Source organism: Homo sapiens, chromosome 10, assembly GCF_000001405.40.
Source record: "Homo sapiens chromosome 10, GRCh38.p14 Primary Assembly".
Lineage (NCBI taxonomy): Eukaryota > Metazoa > Chordata > Mammalia > Primates > Hominidae > Homo > Homo sapiens.
The window spans coordinates 83146543-83167709 of NC_000010.11; the positions used below are offsets into that span (position 1 = coordinate 83146543).

Below are 21167 nucleotides of genomic sequence, written 5' to 3' on the forward strand. Positions count from 1 at the left end.
TTTGTCCAAATGTCTATTCTGTTTGTCTATTTTCGAGACAGAGTCTTGCTCTTTTTCCCAGGCTGGAGTGAAGTGATATGATCTCAGCTCACTGCAACCTCTGCCCCCTGGGTTCAAGGGATTCTCCTGCCTCAGCCACCTGGGTAGCTGAGATTACAGGCACGCACCACCGTGCCCGGCTAATTTTTGTATTTTTAGTAGAGACAGGGTTTCACCATGTTGGCCAGGCTGGTCTTGAACTCCTGACCTCAGGTGATCCGCCCACCTCAGCCTCCCAAAGTGCTGGGATTACAGGTGTGAGCCACCGCACCCAGCCCAAATGTCAATTCTCTCTAACTTAATGTGACCCAATTAGTAATACTTGATTTTTATTAACTGAATAAATGTAAGCTACATTTCATAGGGAAAACTAAATTTAAAAAAATGAGAATAAATCTGAAAAAATAATAAGTAAAGGGAAGGAGCCTATCAGCATATTAAATGCATCAAAACACTAGACAAAATAAAAACGTATAAAGTCATAAATAGACACAAATAAATGGGAGAGATACAACAAAGTACATGCAAATGTTATTATTAGAGAACAATAGAGTTTCAAATAAATAGTGAAATGAGAAATTATACAGTAAATGTTGCCTTTTTGACTACAAAGTAGTCATCTAAAGAAAACAAAATTATGCATACCTTACATCTTACACTAGCTTAAACTTCAAATGGATCAAAGATGTGAATACAAAAAGTCATCTTTAAGGATACTTAAAAGAAAAATACTGTATAGTAAAAATGCTTTAAAATATAAAAGTGAGAAGGCCTGTGCAATTATGAAACAAAATCAAGAAAAATTACAGTTGTGACAAATTTTATTACATTGAAAACATTTATAAGCACACAAAAAAATTGAAATCAAAATGTAAATGATCAACTGCAAAACATTTTACAAATCATATTGCAAAGAATTCATTGCCTTATTATTACAAAAGCATCCACTAGTCAATGAACAACTAAAAAATAAACTAAAACAAACAACTAAGTGGCAAATGGGCAAAAATTAAAAAGTTTCACTAAAAGTAAATTTAAGTGGCTTAATCACACTGATAATACAAGATAAGCAAAATAAATATTCAAAACCACGTGGCTTTGTTAAAAGGCCACAAAGACTATTGGGAGGAAGCCCCCAGATGTCAAATGTGAAACTATTTGAACAACAAAATAAATAATATAAATATGAATAAGCCATATAAATGAATGAGTCAATCAATCAGTTAGCAATAAATAAGTAAATAGGATAGGAGGAGAAACTCTTCCTTAGAAGATAACTCTATCCAATCAATGTCGAAGGTCGAAGGAATGATGGAAATAGAAAATCACCACTTATCTTCACTGATACATACTAAAATTGGTGGGTGAATAGATGATGAAAAATATTTGCATAGCCTGGAAGTATGTTTCAGAAGAGACTCAACAATTACAAAGGAAAAACTACAATACAGTTGAAAAACCTGTCATGTACCAGATGAAGCCAGTAATTAAATTTGACATCATCAGAAATGGAACAAATCCACATCATATGCCTGTGATACTCTGAAGAACACATCATTACTTCTGTGGTATTCTTACCATGAAATTTAGTCATGAAAAATATTAGGAAAGCCAAAATATTTTAGAAAATACCTGGCCAGTCCTTTCTAAAAATGTCAAAGCAATAAAAGAGGTGGAGGGAAAAGATGGAAGCATTCCCTTGAAAACTGGCACAGGATAAGGATGCCCTCTCTTACCACTCCTATTGTCCTGGCCAATGCAATCAAGCAAGAGAAGGAAGTAAAGGGCATCCAAATAGGAAGAGAGGAAGTCAAACTATCCCTGTTTGTGGATGACATATTCCTATATCTAGAAAACCCCATAGTCTCAGCCCCAAAACTCCTTAAGCTGATATGCAACTTCAGCAAAGTCCCAGGATACAAAATCAATGTGCAAAAATCACTAACATTTATATATACCAACAACAGTCAAACTGAGAGCCAAATCAGGAGTGCAATCCCATTCACAAATGCCACAAAAAGTACAAAATACCTAGGAATATAGCTAACCAGGGAAGTTAAAAGATCTTTACAAGGAGAACTACAAAATACTGCTCAAAGAAATCAGAGATGACACTAACACATGGAAAAGCATTCCAATCTCATGGATATGAAGAGTCCATATTGTTAAAATGGATATACTGCCCAAAGCAATTGATAGATTCAACGCTATTTCTATTAAACTACCATCTACATTCTTCACAGAATTAGAAAAAACTATTTAAAAATTCATGTGGAACCAAAAAAGAGTGCAAATAGACAAGGCAATCCTTAGCAAAAAGAAGAAAGCTGGAGGCATCACACTTCTTGATTTTAAACTATACTACAGGGCTACAGTAACCAAAACATCATGGTACTGCTCCAAGAACACACACACAGACCAATGGAACAGAATAGAGAACACAGGAATAAGACCACACATCTACACCTATCTGATCTTCAACAAACCCAACTAAAACAAGCAATGGAGAAAGGATTCCCTATTCAATAAATAGTGCTGGGATAACTGGCTAACCATGTGCAGAAGTTTGAAGCTGGACTTCTTTCTTACACCATATACAAAAATTAACTCAAGATGAATTAAATACTTAAATGTAAAACCCCAAACTCTAAAAACTCTGGAAGACAACCTAAGCAATACCATTCTGAACATGGGAACAGGCAAAGGTTTCATGACGAAGACACCAAAAGCAATTGCAACAAAAGCAAAAATTGACAAATGGGATCTAATTAATCTAAAGAGCTTCTACACAGCAAAGTAAACTATCAACAGAGTGAACAGACAACCTACAGAATGGAAGAAAATTTTTGCAAACTGTGCATTTGATAAAGGTCTAATACCAAGCCTCTATAAGGAACTTAAATTTACAAGAAACAAACAAAGAACCCCATTAAAAAGTGGGCAAAGGACATGAACAGAAAAAGAAGACATACATGTGGGGCCATCAATCATATTTAAAAGAAGCTCAAGGCTGTGCACAGTGGCTCACATCTGTAATCCTAGCACTTTGGGAGGCAAGGCAGGCGGATTACTTGAGGTCAGGAGTTCGAGACCAGCCTGGTCAACATGGTGAAACCCCGTCTTCACTAAAACACAAAAATTAGCCAGGCACAGTGGCAGGTGCCTGTAATCCTAGCTACTCAGGAGGCTGAGGGAGGAGAATCACCTGAACCCAGAAGTTGCAGTGAGCCAAGATTGCACCACTGTACTTCAGCCTGGACAACAGAGTGAAATTCTGTCTCAAAAAAATAAAAATAAAAAAAAAAGCTCAGCATCCTGATCATTAGAGAAATGCAAATCAAAATCACAGTGAGATATGATCTCACACCAGTAAGAATGGCTATTACTAAAAAGTCAATAAATAACAGATGCTGGTGAGGTTGTAGAGAAAAAGGAATACTTATACACTGTTGGTGGGAGTGCAAATTAGTTCAACCATTGTGAAAAACCATGTGGCAATTCTTCAAAAACCTAAAAACAGAAAAACCATTCTAATTAGCAATCCCATTACTAAACACATACCCAAAGGAATATACATAGTTCTATTACAAAGACACATGCACATGTATGTTCATTGCAGCACTATTCACGATAGCAAAGATATGGATCAACATACATGCCCACCAATGGTGGATTGGATTTAAAACAATGTAAATATACACCATGGAATACTATGCAACCATAAAAAGAATGAGATTATGTACTTTGCAAGAACACAGATGGAGCTGCAGTCCATTATCCTTAGCAAACTAACACAGAAACAGAAAACCAAATACCTCATGTTCTCACTTATGTGGGAGCTAAATGGTGAGAACACATGGACACATGGATGGGAACAACATATAATGTGGACTATTAGAAGGTGCAGTATGGAGGAGGGAGAGGATCAGCAAAAATAACTAGTGGGAACTAGACTTAACACCTGGGTGATGAAATAATCTGTACAGCAAACCCTCATGACAGAAGTTTACTTATGTAACAAATCTGTACATGCACTCCTGAAATAAAAGATAAATAAAAATAAAAGTTAAACTAAACCCCCCCCCCAAGGTATCAGGTCAACTAAGTAGAATGTATGAACCTGAATTTAATCCTAGATCAGTAAAGGATATTTGTAGAGTAATTTGTAAAATTTTGGTAAGGTATGTAAGTTATAGTCTTTTATTAATGTTAATTTTCTGATTTTGTTAAATATCCTGTGTTTATACAAATATTAATATTTGAGGAATATTGGTGATGGGAATACCAGAATTTCTAGTAATTTTTTGCAACACTTTTTACATCTTAAATATTTTCCAAATGAAAAGTTACAGTTTAAAAGTTAAAAATACTAGAAAATATATTTTTTCACTTATAATCCCAGCAAGAAACCAATAGTTTTATATAACAATTCTGGTTAGTGTATGAGAAAACAGAAACCTTAATACATTGTTGGTGGAGGGTAAAAATTGGTAAAATTTCTATGAGGTCCATTAATATATAAGCCTTAAATTGGAACTTAAAACCACTTGACTTAGCCTTTCTACAAATGGAATTTTATCCTCCCATTAGGCTCGCATGTGTGCAAAATGGCACATGTATAGAGATAGTCATTGCAGCATCATTTTTAATAGGAAAAGGCCAAAGACACATTCATTTTTATGCAAAGAGGACTGGTTGAGTCAGTAGTCCTCTAACAGTAACAATAAATAAAATAAAATAACAGTATTTAAACGAATACTTGAATCATAAAAGAAGAAGCACTTTTTACAATGCCTTTGAATACCTTAAGATATGTAGTTACATGGAAATGATAATGTTTATAAAAGTGTACCCCTTTTAACTTTTACATATATTGGTTTGAAAGGAAAGGTAAGAAACTGTTAATAGTTAGGAGCTAAGTAGTCACGAGCATAGACATTGCTCTGTGATTTCCTGAGTTCCAATCTCAACTCTGTCACTAATAGTTGTAATGACAGGAGTAAATTACTTAACCCAACAGATCCTCAGTTTCCTCTTCTGTAAAATGGGGAGATTACAGTTGCTACCTAAAGGGTTGTATGGAGGATTAACTGAGTTAATTGATTTGAAATGCTTAGAACTGCATCACACTTAAAAAGTTCCACAAATACTATTTTTATCACGCTTTTAAGAAGAACTTTGTTAGTGTGTTACCAGGGTAGGAACAAAATCATTCACTGTATACATTTGCATATTTTGGATTTTGAGCTGTGTGGACTGTGTTAGGTATTTAAATATAGAAGAGAAAAACAGATGAGAAAGATGAAATCAAATGAAAAAATAAAATTTTATCATTCTATAAGAAGAAAAAAATCTCAAAGTCTTCATACTTGTTATCAAATAGTGTCCCACTGGGAACCTCAGTACAAATATCTACTCTACTGGAGAGGAATTTACATCTCAATATTATACTGAATTATTGCTGTCCATATTTATCGTTTTAATATTGACTTTATGTATAATCATATTTATTCTGACAATATTAATATCTTAATTACGTGATCTGAATTTTGGACATGCACTGATTCTATTGGCTCAAAAATGCATTGCTTCTTTTTTTTCTGCAACAAGTGTTATAGTCCAAAAGACTTGCTTTTGTTGGCATAAATACAAAATATTTCTATTAACCATTAAAAATAAGATTTTGTTTCAGTATTCATGCTAGTTAAACCACATGGGATTAGTAAATACATTAATGGTACCAGGTAAGATATAGGCACAATAATTTATTAAAACTGTAAGAGAACCATACCTCCAGATTATCTTTCTACACAAACAAATTTTATAAATTTATTGTGAGTAATTATGTAAAGTGGAGAGAATTTGTCAAGCGTGGCCTTCGATAAAATATGGTTTGATACAATAAAATGCCTTTAACTAATTTAGCTAAGTTAAAAAGCTTTATTATCCTTAATCTTTGGTTCCAGAAATGGAAAATGAAGCACGAATTTCAATTTGCATAAAAAGCTATAAGCGACTGTACATATGCTCATGGGGCTTTAATTTCATAAATTCTACACTCTCTGCCAAGACCAACGCTATCAATGAAAATTAATTTGCTATCAAAAGCTCTAATTGTATTGCAATTAAACCTCATCATTACGTCCTTTTTTTAGGAAGGGAAAGTGTCCAAGCCCTTCTTGTCAAGGTCTGAGTTCTACAAGACTTTGTATCAGACTATTACAGACACTTAATAAATTTGGAGCTGCAGCCTGAAGCCACATAATATGTCTTCTTAGTTGTATTTTAATATCCTCTACTTGCAGCAGGACTATAAAACCACCAAACGTGACCCTAAACTTTTACAGTAAGAAAAATGAAAATGGCTTGAATGAAACCTTATCTTTCACATGTTATGTATATTGCTGTATGTTTAGTATACATTACTTCATTTAATGCTCAAAAAATTCATAAAATGAGGAAGTTGTTAGTCCCTTTTACAAATAAAGAAACTGTTAAAGAAGTCATATAGATTGAGCTAGGTTGGAAATCTAACCCCATATCACCTATGACTGCATTTATTCTTTCCCAGTTCTGTATCACACAGTTTTTTTCTATGCCTCTGCTCTGTATGCCTCCTCCCCAAACTCAATCAGTGATTAGATGCAGTGAAAATGATATGGGAGGGGGGCAGGGAAGTGCTGGGTAGAGAAGGGCGGGGTCCCTGGCCAAGGCTCCACCCTCAGGCCTGTGCCCATGAACCTAAGTGAGAACGGGCACTCCGGTTTTCATCCCCAAATGTTGCATTTTCCAAGACCACTCTGGCTCACCATGCCCCCATCCTGTGCCCATGTAAACCCGAGAGACCCTAGCAGGAACACACACAAGCAGCCGGACGTCGAGAGGACCAGAGGAGCAGAAAATCACAGACACCAGCAGACACCTGCAGGCCATTGGCAGCGGGAGGATGTGGAATTCTGTCGGGGGCAGTCAGAGGAGAGTCTGGCGGCTGGGCGGCCCAACTCCAGGGGAAGACCATCTTCCCATTCCATTCCCTTTCTGGCCTCCCCACCCATCTCACTGAGAGCTGCTTCCACCACTCAATAAAACCTTGCACCCATCCTCCAAGCCCACGTGTGATCCAATTTTTCTGGTACGCTAGGGCAAGAACCCTGGGATACAGAAAGCCCTCTGTCCTTGCGATAAAGCAGAGGGTCTAATTGAGCTGATTAACACAAGCCGCCTGCAGATAGCAAAGCTGAAAGAGCACACTGAAACACATGCCCACTGCGGCTTTGGGAGCTGTAAACACTCAATCCCAGACGCTGCCGTGGAGTCGGAGCCCAAAGACGCTCCCCACGACCTGCCCATCTGCATGCTACAAAGAAGTGAGCCACTCCCCTGTGGCACGCCCTGTGAGGGGGATAAGGGAACTCCTCCTGTTTCAAAGGTTTATACTGTAGTCTAGAATAATGATTCTGAAGCTGTACTGTGCTTAGGAATTATCTCTCTAATTTGCTAAAATGAAGTTTCTGATTGAGTAGGGCTGACTTCAGATCTTCTGCATTTCTAGTCAAACTCTTAGGTAAATGCCCCGCATCTGCTCCAGGGACCATGCTTTTAGTACAAAGCACTAATACCTCGTCTTCTCCCTGTGGAACATTCCAGCTCTAAGCAAAAGCCTTATGAAATGCCCATTGTACAAATTGCTTCTCAAATATTTTATACTGAAGCCTCATCAGGTTGGCCAGTCTAAACTTATTTCCAACTTCACTAATTTCATAAGTGATGAAGAATACCATATCCAAATGTGTTTTTTCTTCTTTCATTACTTAAGTAATGCATATTTGTTTCTAACCCTCAGAAAATAACAGCAAACAAAATCGAACAATAAATGATAAAATATTTACCTAAAAACTACAACGGGGCTCAGGAAAACATTTTGATGTATCTCTTTCCAGAATTATCATGAACATACCCCTTAATCTCTTGTTGGAATTATTTCTGTGTTAATAAATATGCATCTACACCACCATAAAACAATCAGAGGAACTTGCCATTTACCATGTAAGCCTCTGTATGTTAATTTCTCTAGGCCTAGTTTTCTCACCTAAAAAATAATTTGAACCAAGTAGGCTGACAGGTCCCTTTCCAGACCACTAATGGAAATCTCCCTTCTTTACATCTTTATCTCAGTGCTTTGAATTGCTGCCCACCAAGCACTCCACCCTCAGTTCTCAAAAGCTTCCACAAGTAAAAGGTTAAGAAAATAGCAGGTATGCAATCTTTGCCCATCTCAAGGGATTTAGCCTTAAAGAACTATGTACACCACGGTAATCTGCATTTAAACCTTCCTAGCATGAACTAGTATGTAAGATTTTTCTGTCTCTTCTCACTGCTGCCTTAGCTGTTGAAGGTCAGCTATGTCTTCCACTAAAGAAAACTTGCTTAGATTTACTTAGGTTTTGCAGAAGAAAATATAAAATGTAGAAAATAAAATGATGAGCCTTGAATTGTGCAAAAACATCATCTTTGAGTATGCATGTACTCTTTTTGATTTATTTAAGTGACATTTAGCACATAAATATAGAGTTTGCCATTTTATTTTCTACCAGAAGTTATTTTTATTAAGTGCTATGAAACTCCATTTAATGAAAAAGTGTCATGTTCTCATGTGCACTTTCAATGAGCTAATAAGATCAACACTAGAAAGAAAATTAAATTAGGGATGGGTGGGTGGCAAACAATTTGCTGAGCAAATCTGTACTTCTCTGTGTGGATGTTCAGTGGCTTTCATGTTTAAGAGTGCACATTTAAGGGAATTTAGTTTGCTGGGGTCTCATTTGAGAAGATAGAAAATAAAAATCTCCCCCTTTGTTTCTCCTGTTTCCTCTTTCCCCTTCCTTTCTTTCATTTACAGTCTTTATGATGTGCATGACTGTTACTCAGGACTCTTCTCTGTAAATTGAATGCCAATTTTGAACTACCTCCTATTGGGGTAGCTTTGTTCTTCTTGTTAAACTTCCAGATTTGCACCTGCAAGTTCCTCTAAAGCTACTTCAATTGTTTTCTGAACTGTGGGAATTTGGAAGGAGAGAATTCCCTGTCCCCTTGTTCCCTCCCTCCTTTCAATAAACTTGCTAATTTTTGTATTGAAACTCCTAAAATTTCTGCCAAATCTTACAATTTCATAGAACTTCAAATCTCTTTATTTTCTATGTAATCACCACTAGTGGCAGAGTACACATTTCACAACAGGGTCACTGCATTCTTTTTGCTGAAGTATTTTGTTTTCCCTTTCATACCATCATATGAGGAGCCATTTAGACCAACACAAGCCACCACCTCTGTCTTATTGTGTTCCACACCCTCAGAAAATGTGGTCTTTACTTTCTGTGATCAGTGATCTCAATTACACATTTCTGAGTATGTCCACATGTTGCAGCAGAGTTTATGAGACTTCAATAAAAATGTCACGCCTTTGTCTCTTTCATTCTCTCAAAACCACATTTTGCCCAGGAAGTGGGAGGTCCGACTCCAAACTCTGGAACCAGACTGGAAGGGTTCATGTTCCACATCCACTATTTATTGTGTGACCATTGGCAAGTTACTTAACTTTCTGTGCTGGCAATTTCTTCATCTTTAAAATGGGACTATGACCAGGCACGGTGGCTCATGCTGTTAATCCCAGCACTTTGGGAAGCTGAGGCGGGAGGATCACTTGAGTCCAGCAGTTTGAGGATGCAGCGAGCTATGATGAGTTTTCAGAAATTCATTCTCAGTGGTTGTCATTGTATGAGCCTCCAGAAGGCAACAGCCAACACCATTCCATCTCCCCAGGAAGCAATGAGCCATCCTGGACTTGCTCTGTGTGGAGCCATCCTCTGCCCCTGGTGAGCTTTGCGTGCCACAGATACATCTCAGTGCGTGAGCTGCTTACTCAACAATGAATCTCCCCTCCAAGCATAAGGTGAAAAAGAAATAAAACAGGCAAAGAAAGAAAAAAATGCTCCTAAATGTATCTCAAATGATATTTTGCCTTTGATGATTAGAGATATCTTCATTTATACGTTCATGGACTCACTCATTCATTCATTTAATCAACATTTATCAAATATCTGTGATAAAGCAAGCACTGTGATTAATGCAGGATTATAAAAAATAAGCTGATAATTTGTAACAAAGGAATGATGATGTACATGGAGCAAGGGTCAAATAAAACAAACTAAATAAAAGCAAGGAAACAAAGAAGCAAAAAGTCTACTTATGCTAAAGCCCCTCATGGAGATATTTCAATATACTCTTGAGACTTTCTGGAGTAGAAGTTTAATTCACTCTGTTGAAGCATTTCACACAGAAGATAATGTTAGAGCTGAGACTTGAAGCAATCAGGCAACTTTTAAGTTTAAATTTATTTGAATATAAGAGAAAAGCCTCATATCACAGTAAGTGAGACAGAAGTTTATTTCTCTCATATAAACTACAGACAACAGTGATAGAAAACACACCGTTTGGCTTATTACAAGACATATGCTGCTCCAGCACTAATAGATATTAACTTAATTAACACTGAAGCCAACTCTGAGCTGGTGATATTTTTAGTCCTATTTTACTTTACTTTATTTTATTTTATTTTTAGAGACAAGGTCTTGCTCTGTCACCCAGACTTGAGTGCAGTGGGGAGATCATGGCTGACTGTAGCCTTGACTTCCTGGGCTTGATCACCCTAGACGGGTGATCCTCCCACCTCAGCCTCTGGAGTAGCTGTGACTACAGGCACATGCCACCACGCCCAACTTATTTTTTAAAATTTTTTGTAGAGAAAGGGTCTGTACACAGAGTGCCTCTATTTTGTCCAGGCTGGTCTCCAACTCCTGGGTTCAAGGAATCCTCCCACCTCAGCCTCCCAAAATGCTGGGATTGCAAGTGTGAGCCACTAATCCCAGCCTTCACTTCACATATTTTTCTATTTTATCTCTAGGTTGCCATAACTAGCACTGTTGATAAATTTTAACCTCTGAATTATGGAGTTTTACTTACTAGTCTTCCTTAATACTAAAAAGTTGAGAGCAGAAAACTCACCAGTCTGTGAGTATTTGTATCTGAGCTGTGCTATTACCTGAAAGGCCTAGGTAAATGCTAAGATGGCAAAATTGATGGTTTTCATTTTTGAAGAACAGCTGCCATAGAAAACCATGCCAATGGATTGCTTGAGTATGATCCAGGAAGCAAGAGGCTAAATGAATCTGATCTCATACTCCCTTTGTAATGGGAAGACCTTGAGTAAAGGAATTTTGATTGCAGTTTCAGCCAGCTGTAGCTTTGTTTGTTTTTTATTTTGTTTTGTTTAGTTAGATTTCTTTTTACATCCTGAAGCCTGGGGAGCTGTGACAGGTGACTACAAAGGTTGACATCTCTATAGGAAGACACTGGTGATGTGGATGTGGAGGAACAGGAGGTGAATGGAAGTTTTTCAAAAGATTAAGATTTTGAGAGTATCAGGTGGGGAATAGAGGTGAGAGTGATTTTTAATATTTATATATTAGAAATGTGCCCTCTTAAGGTATTTGGTTTTGTTCTTAATTTTATGAGAAACTATATCTAATGCTTACCACCATTTTTTTTTTTTTGAGATGATACCTCTTTAGTCAATATGGTCATTTGAAGTTCATTTTCCAGAAGATTCTTGAGGAAGGACTCATAGCAACAATGTTCTCAGAGTTTTTGCATAATGCTGCCAGTTTGTTCTCTTTGTAAATTAAAAGTCATATTTATAATTTTACATATCTTAAATAAGTCCCTTTATTTTCTTCTGGTATAAAATGTTGTTGAAAATTTTATTGTATATCTAATTTTACTTCATTTCTATTTCAGAAGCTTTGTTTCCTATATGTCCAAATGAAATTTTTTAAAAATCCAGTAATCTTATTAAAATATGCCTTGATATTGGGTATTTCTAGGTGGATATCCTCAGGTGTCTCAAGTATGTGCTAGTTTTTTAATGTGCGATTTTAGATGATTTTTTCTCTATTTCTTTCCTTTTTGTTTTTTAAAAATTTAAGCCAAGGTTACTTTTCCCTTGCTTTGACTTTGTGTTCAGAGACTCATACCATTCCTATGGCAGCCTCTTTTGCTTACTGTCAATATCCGTCACTGTCTCAATTCCTTTTTATCTCTTCATATTTTTAATGCATTTTTTTTTTGCTTTTTCATCTTCCATTTCTTAAGACATAATCTTTTTTAAAAAAATTGTGTTTTATTCTTTCAGGTTTAGTCTTAATTTCTGATATTTATTTATTATACTTTCCAGCATTTGGTGATCTTATTTCTGAGTTTCATTCATTTTGATTCATATTTTTATTTCATGTCTTATATCTTCTCAATGTCTTTTAGCTCATTTTGAAATAGTAGGTTACATTTTTGGTTTGTTTGGTGGGCTCATCTTGCACTCATCGTCTATAGGGCACTTCTCCAGCTCCTGGTTCTCACGTTTTTTTCTTGTAATAACTTTGATTCAGATTTAACCTTGACACTTCTTTGTTGCTCCAAATATAAGTGTGTTTTCTGTTGTTGTTATCTTTGTTCTTTTACAAGAGAGAGAAATAAACTTCTGTCTATAATGTGAGACTTTTGTGTTTTTCTGTGAAATTAACTTCTCTGATTTAACTTTTTAGAATGAGACAAGTTTCAGGAAAGCTTTTCTAACTTTGCGGAACTCCCTCTTCAGTGTCTTGAATTTTTGGAATTTCCTGGTTGTGTTTCCTTTGCCCACTTTTGTGTAGACCTCATGTTTTCCTTTCTCTTGTCCTCTCCTGCTCTCTTGATTCAGCTCCCAAAAGTCTCTGCTCAGTGAGGGAGCCGTCCTAAAAGGGAAGGCTGGAGAGTCTCTGTGGGGAGTTCTTGGGGCATGGCCTGCTCCAATTCTTTAGTTTTTCTTCCTTTGGGCCCCTCACACTCACTGGTTCTATGGAGGGAAAACTTATTCCCAGTTTCAGATGCTGTTCTCCAGTTTGCCTTTAAGTTTCACAGAGAACATCTGTTGGTTCTTTGGAGTTTTTTTCTGTTCTCAGTTCCAATAGAGGCCACTCTCATTGCTTCCTTTGTCTTGCCACATAAAGAGTGGCTATAATGTCTATTTTGTGGCTATTGGTGTGCTTTGCAGGGCATGGGGATACCTTGGTATCTAGTTTTGTTTTAAATATTGTCTGTGTGTTTTTGGTTTCCTTAGAAGTTGCTGTCAAGTTTTATGTAGGAATTCAAGGAGATGATTAAAAACTCTCTCAAGGGCCTGGTGCCGTTAGAAGAAGATGTGTAAGGTCTTTTACAAAGCATTGAAACAAATGTTTAGCTTAGGTTTATAAAGTTGGCTTTAGGATCTGTAAAGGAGGCAAATGTGACCAAAATTACCTCGTTCCTTGATGTTCTTTTGCTGTCACTCAAATCAACAGCAAATAGCTGACTGTAATAGGAAAGAAATGTCACTAGCCCTTTATAGAAGTGATAGTCTGGAACTTCTGAATAGCATTCATTTTATTTGGAAAAAGAAAAAACGTTAAAGTATTTTGAAAGAGTTGAAGCTGTTTATACAAAATTATGATCAGTGTGGATGAGGGGTGGATTAGACACAAAACTGAGGTGGCAAAGTGTGAATTCTTCATTGAAAAATTGATATGAAAAAATATTTTATTTGTAACCTGCAATGAGCAGTTCATATTGAAGCATCTGACAGGGGTGGGGACACATCGACATACTTCAGCCTTGAGTGACTACTCCCCTTCTTACGTGTCAGCTGTTTGGCCCGGTTCTAGCTAGACTAATAAATGCTTTACATTTTATATAACTTTTGACTAATCATATGTCCCAATGGAAAACATATGCTAAAATTACAGAATCTTTACCTTGGTGGCATTTTCACCTAAATCCTCAACAGAACTAAGCCTAGAATTAAATTAAATTCTAAAGAGGAACTTGCTAAATGCTTGTTGATGGATTGACTAAGTGATAACTTGCATAGTTCAGAACTTGATGGTTTGCAACCATTATCACCTATTATTCGGTACCTTTAACTCCTAGTCAAGACAACAGTGAGTTAGATATGTTACAGATAAGGAAATGGAGGTTCAGATTACATCTAGGACATAGTCAAGCTTCCTTGTTCCATGCGTTTTGCTGTATCTACTATCCCATAGTTTCTGAGCTGATGACTATTTTGTAGGAAGAACTGGAAATTTATCTCTGTTTACACTGGCTTCAGAAATATATATATAGGCATCATTTTCATAAATTCATATTTCTCTGCTTATGTTTCTCATATACTTATTTTATCCATTTTAATGACTCTCTCCCAAATAAGGATGCCTTCTAAGAAATATATTCAAGGATTTTCTTCTTGCAATTAATGTCCTATGAAAAGCCCATGGTGATTGATCATCTGATATGTGCTAACTACTCGGCTAGATTTGTTCACAGAATTTTTTTTTTTTGGTAGCTGAATCAACTCTGTTACACACTTTTTGCAGACTTATCTTTCCTTCTTTTACAGGTCAAAGCAGTTAAATTATCTTCCCAAAGTCACATCATTAATTAGCTAGAGCTACAATTCAAAACCAGACCTAATTTCAAATTAATGTGGCTTTATATATATAAAACACTGACTTTGCCCCTGTGTTGGGATGCAATGTATAAGATTTACCACATTCCATATGTGTCCAAGGTCTTCCTATCAGATTTTTTATTTTGTTTAGTTCTGTCTCTCTTATGACTTGTCCAGAAACATTTCTATTGAATAGATTTTTAAATATACCAACCTCTACACACTACTATAAAAGGTTTTGTCATCACGTAAGCTACATAGAATGCTTATATACAGTAAGCAGTTAAATGTTTGGCTTTAAAATAGAAGCTTCTTCCTCTTGACAATGATTTAAAGCCCTTATTTCACAAGTGGTGCTCTTTAAGAATATAAGTGGTACATATTTATGTCCTAGCCAGTTCTGGAATGTAAGTGTGTGCTGTTCGGGAATAAGTGAACAAATTTTTCAGGGGGAATTTTATCGAACAACAGGTATGTCTGGGGTGGCACAGAGTGTGAATGTGTGACTGAGTTCATTGAATTCCAGAGGAGAGTCCCCCTGAATGTAATAAGTTAGAGAAAAATGATTCATAAAGGGATTGGGGGAAAATCTGATCTGCAGCTCAGGGGGTGCAAAGGGACAATTTCATTAGCAAGTACGGTTTCTCAGTATATCCATTGGTTTCTCATGTGATATGGATAGAAAAACATGCTTCAACATTATGCACAACAAACACTGTGTAAAGAGCAAAAAAGTACCATATGCAGATGGCATTGTAAACAGAATATTTCAATCAAATGATGACAAATATTAAATTAGGAATGGGTGGGTGGCAAACAATTTGCTGAGCAAATCTGTAAGAATGGGTGTGTGTGTGAAAACTTCTCATTTGAAGAAAAACTTGAGACATTACTTTCTTCCTTATTGTTCTCTAGGAAAAATGACTGGATAGACCCAGTGTGGTCAAGGATGGGCCAAGGGAATTGAAACATGTATTGCCATATATTTAGAGAGGGTAAGTGCTCCCAGTACATATATTTCATTTGGGGAGATAGGACTATAGGGTAATTTAGGCTTTTTGTGCCATTTTATAATTATTCTTTATTTGAACAGCTTTAGTTTAAGAGTGTTTGAATTGATTTAATTTGATTAATTTACATTGACTTACAGCAGCTTAGGAAAAATTATAAATGAGTGAATTTTCAACTGTAGAATTTTAATTGAAATTCAGCCAAATCCAGGGCCATTAGAATCAAGGTAAGATTCAAGTAAAAGGAAAATAGATTGAAATCTCTGGTCCTTTAGGAAGAAATGATGTTTCAGTGGGCTGACTTCATCAACAGTAAGCTTTGGTAGGGACTTTAGGTAACTTTACAGAAAGATTACTCAGCATTGAAGAGGCAGATGTGGGGATTAGAGCAGGGGCAAATTAAAATAGCATTAGACATTAGAGTTTGAAGTTTCTAGAAAGTAGCCTGGGTGATCCTAGAACTTATGTAGATTTAGGAGGACTATCCAGCAGTAGCAGGTTGAGGAAGATACCAAACAGTCTTTATGAACCAAAGTTCTTAATATGGGACCATTCATCGATTATTCATCCAGCACCAAAACAGAAATTCAAACACCCCATACATTCAAGGTGAAGTGACCTAGTGTACCGAAGGTATCAGAGCCCAGGTATTGAGGTTGGAGTGTGATGATATGATTCCAAGTAAGTGGGATTAGTAGGCAGCAAATTTGAAAGTTTCTCCATAGTAATGAGAGGCAGCAAAAATTTCTAGATTACTTGGTTCCATATCCTGTCTAAGCTGAATGGAAATGGATAGTTATCCACCTAAATATTCTTCCTTATCCTACCTTCTGATTACTGATAATTCACCTTAGATAAAGCACAGAGCTTGAACCAGGAGCCAGAGAATTAGTGAAAAAAAAGAATGATTATAATGAGCTTTCTGAGAAATATAGATGAGCAAAAGCCCAGCAAACACAGCAGCTACTGGCAATTAGAATGGAGACCTGAAGATTATGCTGAAAAATATCAACATCACTAATGATGTGTTTGAGAGGAAGCCTGGGATCTTCCTGTCCTGCAGCATCCTATAATCACTCTGTTCTTCAACAAATATTTAATAGAGCAAAATTTGGGGGCATAGTGCCAAATATTAGGGCACAATAATGACATTAAAAAGATAATAATTACTCTCAAGGAGCCACATTCTACTAAAAAATACACATCAGTAGACCCAGAATCATATGTTGATTTAGTTTTGGAAAATTATATGATTCAGTGAGAGCAAGCTGGAAGTAAACCTACTCCAGCCTCTGAGAGGAGCAGGGACAAAGGGAGAAAAGATCAAGAGACGTGAACTGGAAGTGAATAGATGGCCACAGTAGAGAGAGGCCACAGCTGCTCTAGTAATCTAGCACGAACCTTCAGCTATAGAGAATATAATGTAGTGTGAAGAAAGAAAGGGCCAGGAAAATGGCATAACACCAAACTCACCTCTCTACCCTGAGTGATTTCTGGTGTGTGATATGCACATAATCTACTTGAGAGGACAGGAGAGGAAAAGCAACGGCATGGAAGATCTTTTGCAAAAGCATGGGGTTGGAGGAAAAATTCTATGAAGAGATTGAAAATATAAGAAAACGGCCTGGTACAGTGGCTCATGCCTGTATTCCTGGCACTTTGGGAGGCTGATGTAGGAGAATCTCTTGAGCCCAGGAGTTCGAGACCAGCCTGGGTAACACTGACAAACTTTGTCTCTACAAAAAATAAAAAAATTAGCCAGGTGTGGTGGCGTGCACCTATAGTCCCAGATACTTGGCAAAGCTTGAGCTTTGGAGGCAGAGGTTGTAGTGAGCTATGATTGTGCCACTGCACTCCTGCCTGGGTGACAGAGCAAGACTCTTTCTCAAAAACAAAACAAAACAAACAAACAAAAAAAACCAAGAGAATGTATTTGTCACATAGTAGTTTAAAAGTGACAGGTGAAATTGTTGGGTGAGAAAAAGGAATTACAAAGTAAAGTGAGGCTGAGGTAACTGGAGAGAATATTTGAATCAATATACTTTTAACTAGGGCTGGTAAACAAGAATAATAAAGTTCTGAACAATTACAGCTTAGCTAATTTCAGATTTCCTAAGCCCATTAGCTCCCACTTACAAGCGGACTGTGAGGACTTTCACCTGTCTGGAAGCATTCACCCATGGCCTGAATAGTACGTGCCTCTGAGGGAGTTTCATCCTGGTGCTAGGCCAGTCATGTTTCAAATCTTGGAAACTGCTTGTAAGTTGTAAAAACTCCGTGTTTTTCATAAAGATTCTTCTGACACTTGACACTTGAACCCCTGATTAACTTATCTTTAAGTGCTAGTCTCTTTAGATAAAAATGAGGGCAATGTGTGAAGAAGAAAATTGCATGACAGAGTTAAAGATGATTCACACACATTTACTTTGAAAGAGGCTAATGGTACTAACCAGACGCTTTTCATTTCCTCCCCTATTATACTCTTGGGAGAATATTTCAAGCTTGATTTCCACATTGATTTTTTTTTGCTTTGTCTACATTTTTTTCACTTTTATTTCCAGAATATCAGATAGCATTTCTTGAGCATCTATTATATGACACACAAAGTGCCATGTAATAGATTGAATAGGTTTACTTACTGCAGAATTTCTCACTGCCTTTAATATGACAAATAAAATGCACATCCAAGAGAGACCTATAGCTTGCACTTTTAATTGATTTTTTTAACCAGAGGGCACCTTTGTTTTGAATGTCTCTCAGGAATTCCTTCTATGGAATATACCTTCAAAAACACTGGGCCAGGTCAGGAGACCAAGCAAGCGTGTAGATAGCTGGATAGGTGGATTTGAGTCACACAGCAAAAGGCTTTTGGGTAAAAGAATTTGGGCTCTGTTGACTAGACTGGCAAGGTGGAGAGACACAATAGATTTCTGTATTATTCGTTTTCTTTGAATTAAACTGGTTTACTTCTGTTTAATCCTGAAGCATTCAACATAAAGAAAAGCACAGGAAATTATATACCAGATATGCTTATGTCCTCTTTTGAAATTAGTTTGGACCATGAGGACTATACATTCTCTTAACTCAGTGTCGGTAAATTACAGCCCAAGAGATGAATCTGGACTGCCGCCTGATTTTGTCACACAGTCATGCTAATTCATGCTTATTCTTGCTTACTCAAGCTGTCTGTGGCAGTGTTTGCCCTACAGTGGCAGAATTGATAGTTGTGATAGAAACCATATGGCATACAGAGCCTAAAGCATTTACTATCTGGCCCTTCACAGGAAAAAGTTTTGCCAGCCCTGCTTTAAAGGATTGATCATATTTACATTTTGCTTTTGGAAAATCCATATGTGGTGGACACAGCAGTAGAGAGGGGGCTAACGTGTTTGGCCACTTGCCCTTCACTGTTTTTCAAATAGAAACTAAACAATGTACTAAAGCCAGCTGTAACGGCAATGCTGTCTTGTATCTCTACAAGAATAATTCTAAATGCAAGAGACCGTACTGTGAAACCATTTCTTGCCCTAAAAAAATTCTGAACTACAAGAGGGAACAATTCAAGAAGAAAACAGTGTTAAGGTACGCTAATACAATTTGCAGGTAATTGTAAATTACTGATTTGGGCAATAAATAATTGTGGTCTCTATATGTATATACACACACACACATAAACACATAAACATACACGGCACTACTTACTTTGTATGAACTGGCTGCTTGCCTTCTGGAAGGATATGTATCACTGGGATGCCAACCAGGAGCATCTTGTCTGATGCTGATATGTGTTTGTCTATGTATAAATTATTAGTAATCTTAAAATTGTGTTTCATATCCTTTTCCAATAAAATTTAGTTTCAGAAATCTCATTAAGCACACAAAACTGAATAAGGTTCACGATTTTTATAATTAGGTATATAGGTATAGTTAGATAAATATATACATGAAAATATACACATAAATATAGATATGATACAGATATAGAGATGCATACATATATAATTATATATATTAATTTTATATATATATATTTATTAAGCCAGTATTTGTCTACATGATTACTGTAGTGAGGGGACATCCATCCGGATCAGCTAGGTGTTTGCCCACAAATTGGGTGCATTCATTTCCTTTTCTCTTTCTTTTTTTCTCAGCACTGCTTGGTTTCTGATAGTATACTTCGATCAGGCAGTAAGCTCAACAGCAGGTTGATGCAAATTTACATGGATAATTCTGAGATCCAGAAATGGTATACTGAGGGGCCAGGCTATGTGGGCAGCTCCTCCCCTGTGGTTTTTCTTGTTCAAAAGCCTCTAAGCCTACTGATTTCTGCAGTTAACTCTTTTGTTTGACTAGGATGACGGCGTCCCTTCTGGTCGACTGCTGCCACAACATGAGAGAAATGCCCAGCTTAGGACTGCTTCCAGTGACTGAGGTTGCAGTTCCAACCACGCACATGAGCTGCCCCAAAGGAGCTACTCACCTGAGTGACAGCACAGCAGTGCTGTCGGGGATTTCAAGTGTCCTTCTTTCCATCTGCCCTCTCCTTTAACTCTTGCCTCTCAAGACTAAAAACTGTACCAAGATTCTCCAAGAATCTTCTCTATTAATTCCTGGCAAGTTGGAGGTGTAAATGAGACCCTGGTTAAAGTTACCCCTCTAATAGCTCTCTGTTATATGTGGAGAAAATGTTTAATGTTTTGACATCAAACATCTAGTGATGATATAAAAATTTCCTTTTGAATATATGTGGAGTTTAATGGTGGTGGGTTAGGGAGACATCTAATTAGGTGCTTCTCTTATGTTTTCATTCTACAATATAGTTTTTAATTGAAAAGTTTCCTCCTATACCTATTATGGAAGCCCAATAATTTTCAAAGCATAATCTCAAATGGGAACACAAATTTAAATACTCACAATTTAAATTTTGTGAAAGGAAAAAAAATAAAATTAAAATTAAAAAATGGTCCTTTATGTCAGGCCTCTGAGCCCAAGCCTGCACATATGCATCCAGATGGCCTGGAGCAACTGAGGAATGACAGGAGAGGTGAAAATAGCCAGTTCCTGCCTCGACTGATGACATTCCACCATTGTGATTTGTTCCTGCCCCACCCTAACTGATCAACTGATCCTGTGACATTCCTTCTCCCGGACAATGAGTATCAGAAGCTCCCCACCTAGCACCTTGTAACCCCAGCCCCTGCCCACAAGAGGAAAACCCCTTTGACTGTAATTTTCCACTACCTACCCAAATCCTATAAAACTGCCCCACCCTTATCTCCCTTTGTTTTTGACTCCTTTTTCGGACTCAGCACGCCTGCACCCAGGTGATTAAAAAGCTTTATTGCTCACACAAAGCCTGTTTGGTTGTTTCTTCACACAGATGCGTGTGACACTTTAGAGACTTTCTCTAATTTCTACTGATAATGCATGGTGATCTCTTTTTTGAAAACCAGTTTGTGGGTTAATAGTTTGACTATATGGAGGACTGTGAGAAATAAAGAGAAAATGTATTTTCTTGTGATTCAGTATTGCTGGTAGCTATTTTA

The 21167-nt window shown here is 36.9% G+C and overlaps 1 long non-coding RNA gene across 1 annotated transcript; it reads left to right on the top strand.

Moving 5' to 3' along the window:
* Nucleotides 1–11466: 11466 nt before the first annotated feature.
* On the top strand, nt 11467–20153 carry LOC107984187 (uncharacterized). Its single transcript, XR_001747299.1, has 3 exons — nt 11467–11533; nt 15527–15606; nt 19975–20153. It is a non-coding gene; the product is annotated as an uncharacterized LOC107984187 (long non-coding RNA).
* The last annotated feature ends 1014 nt before the right edge of the window (nt 20154–21167 follow it).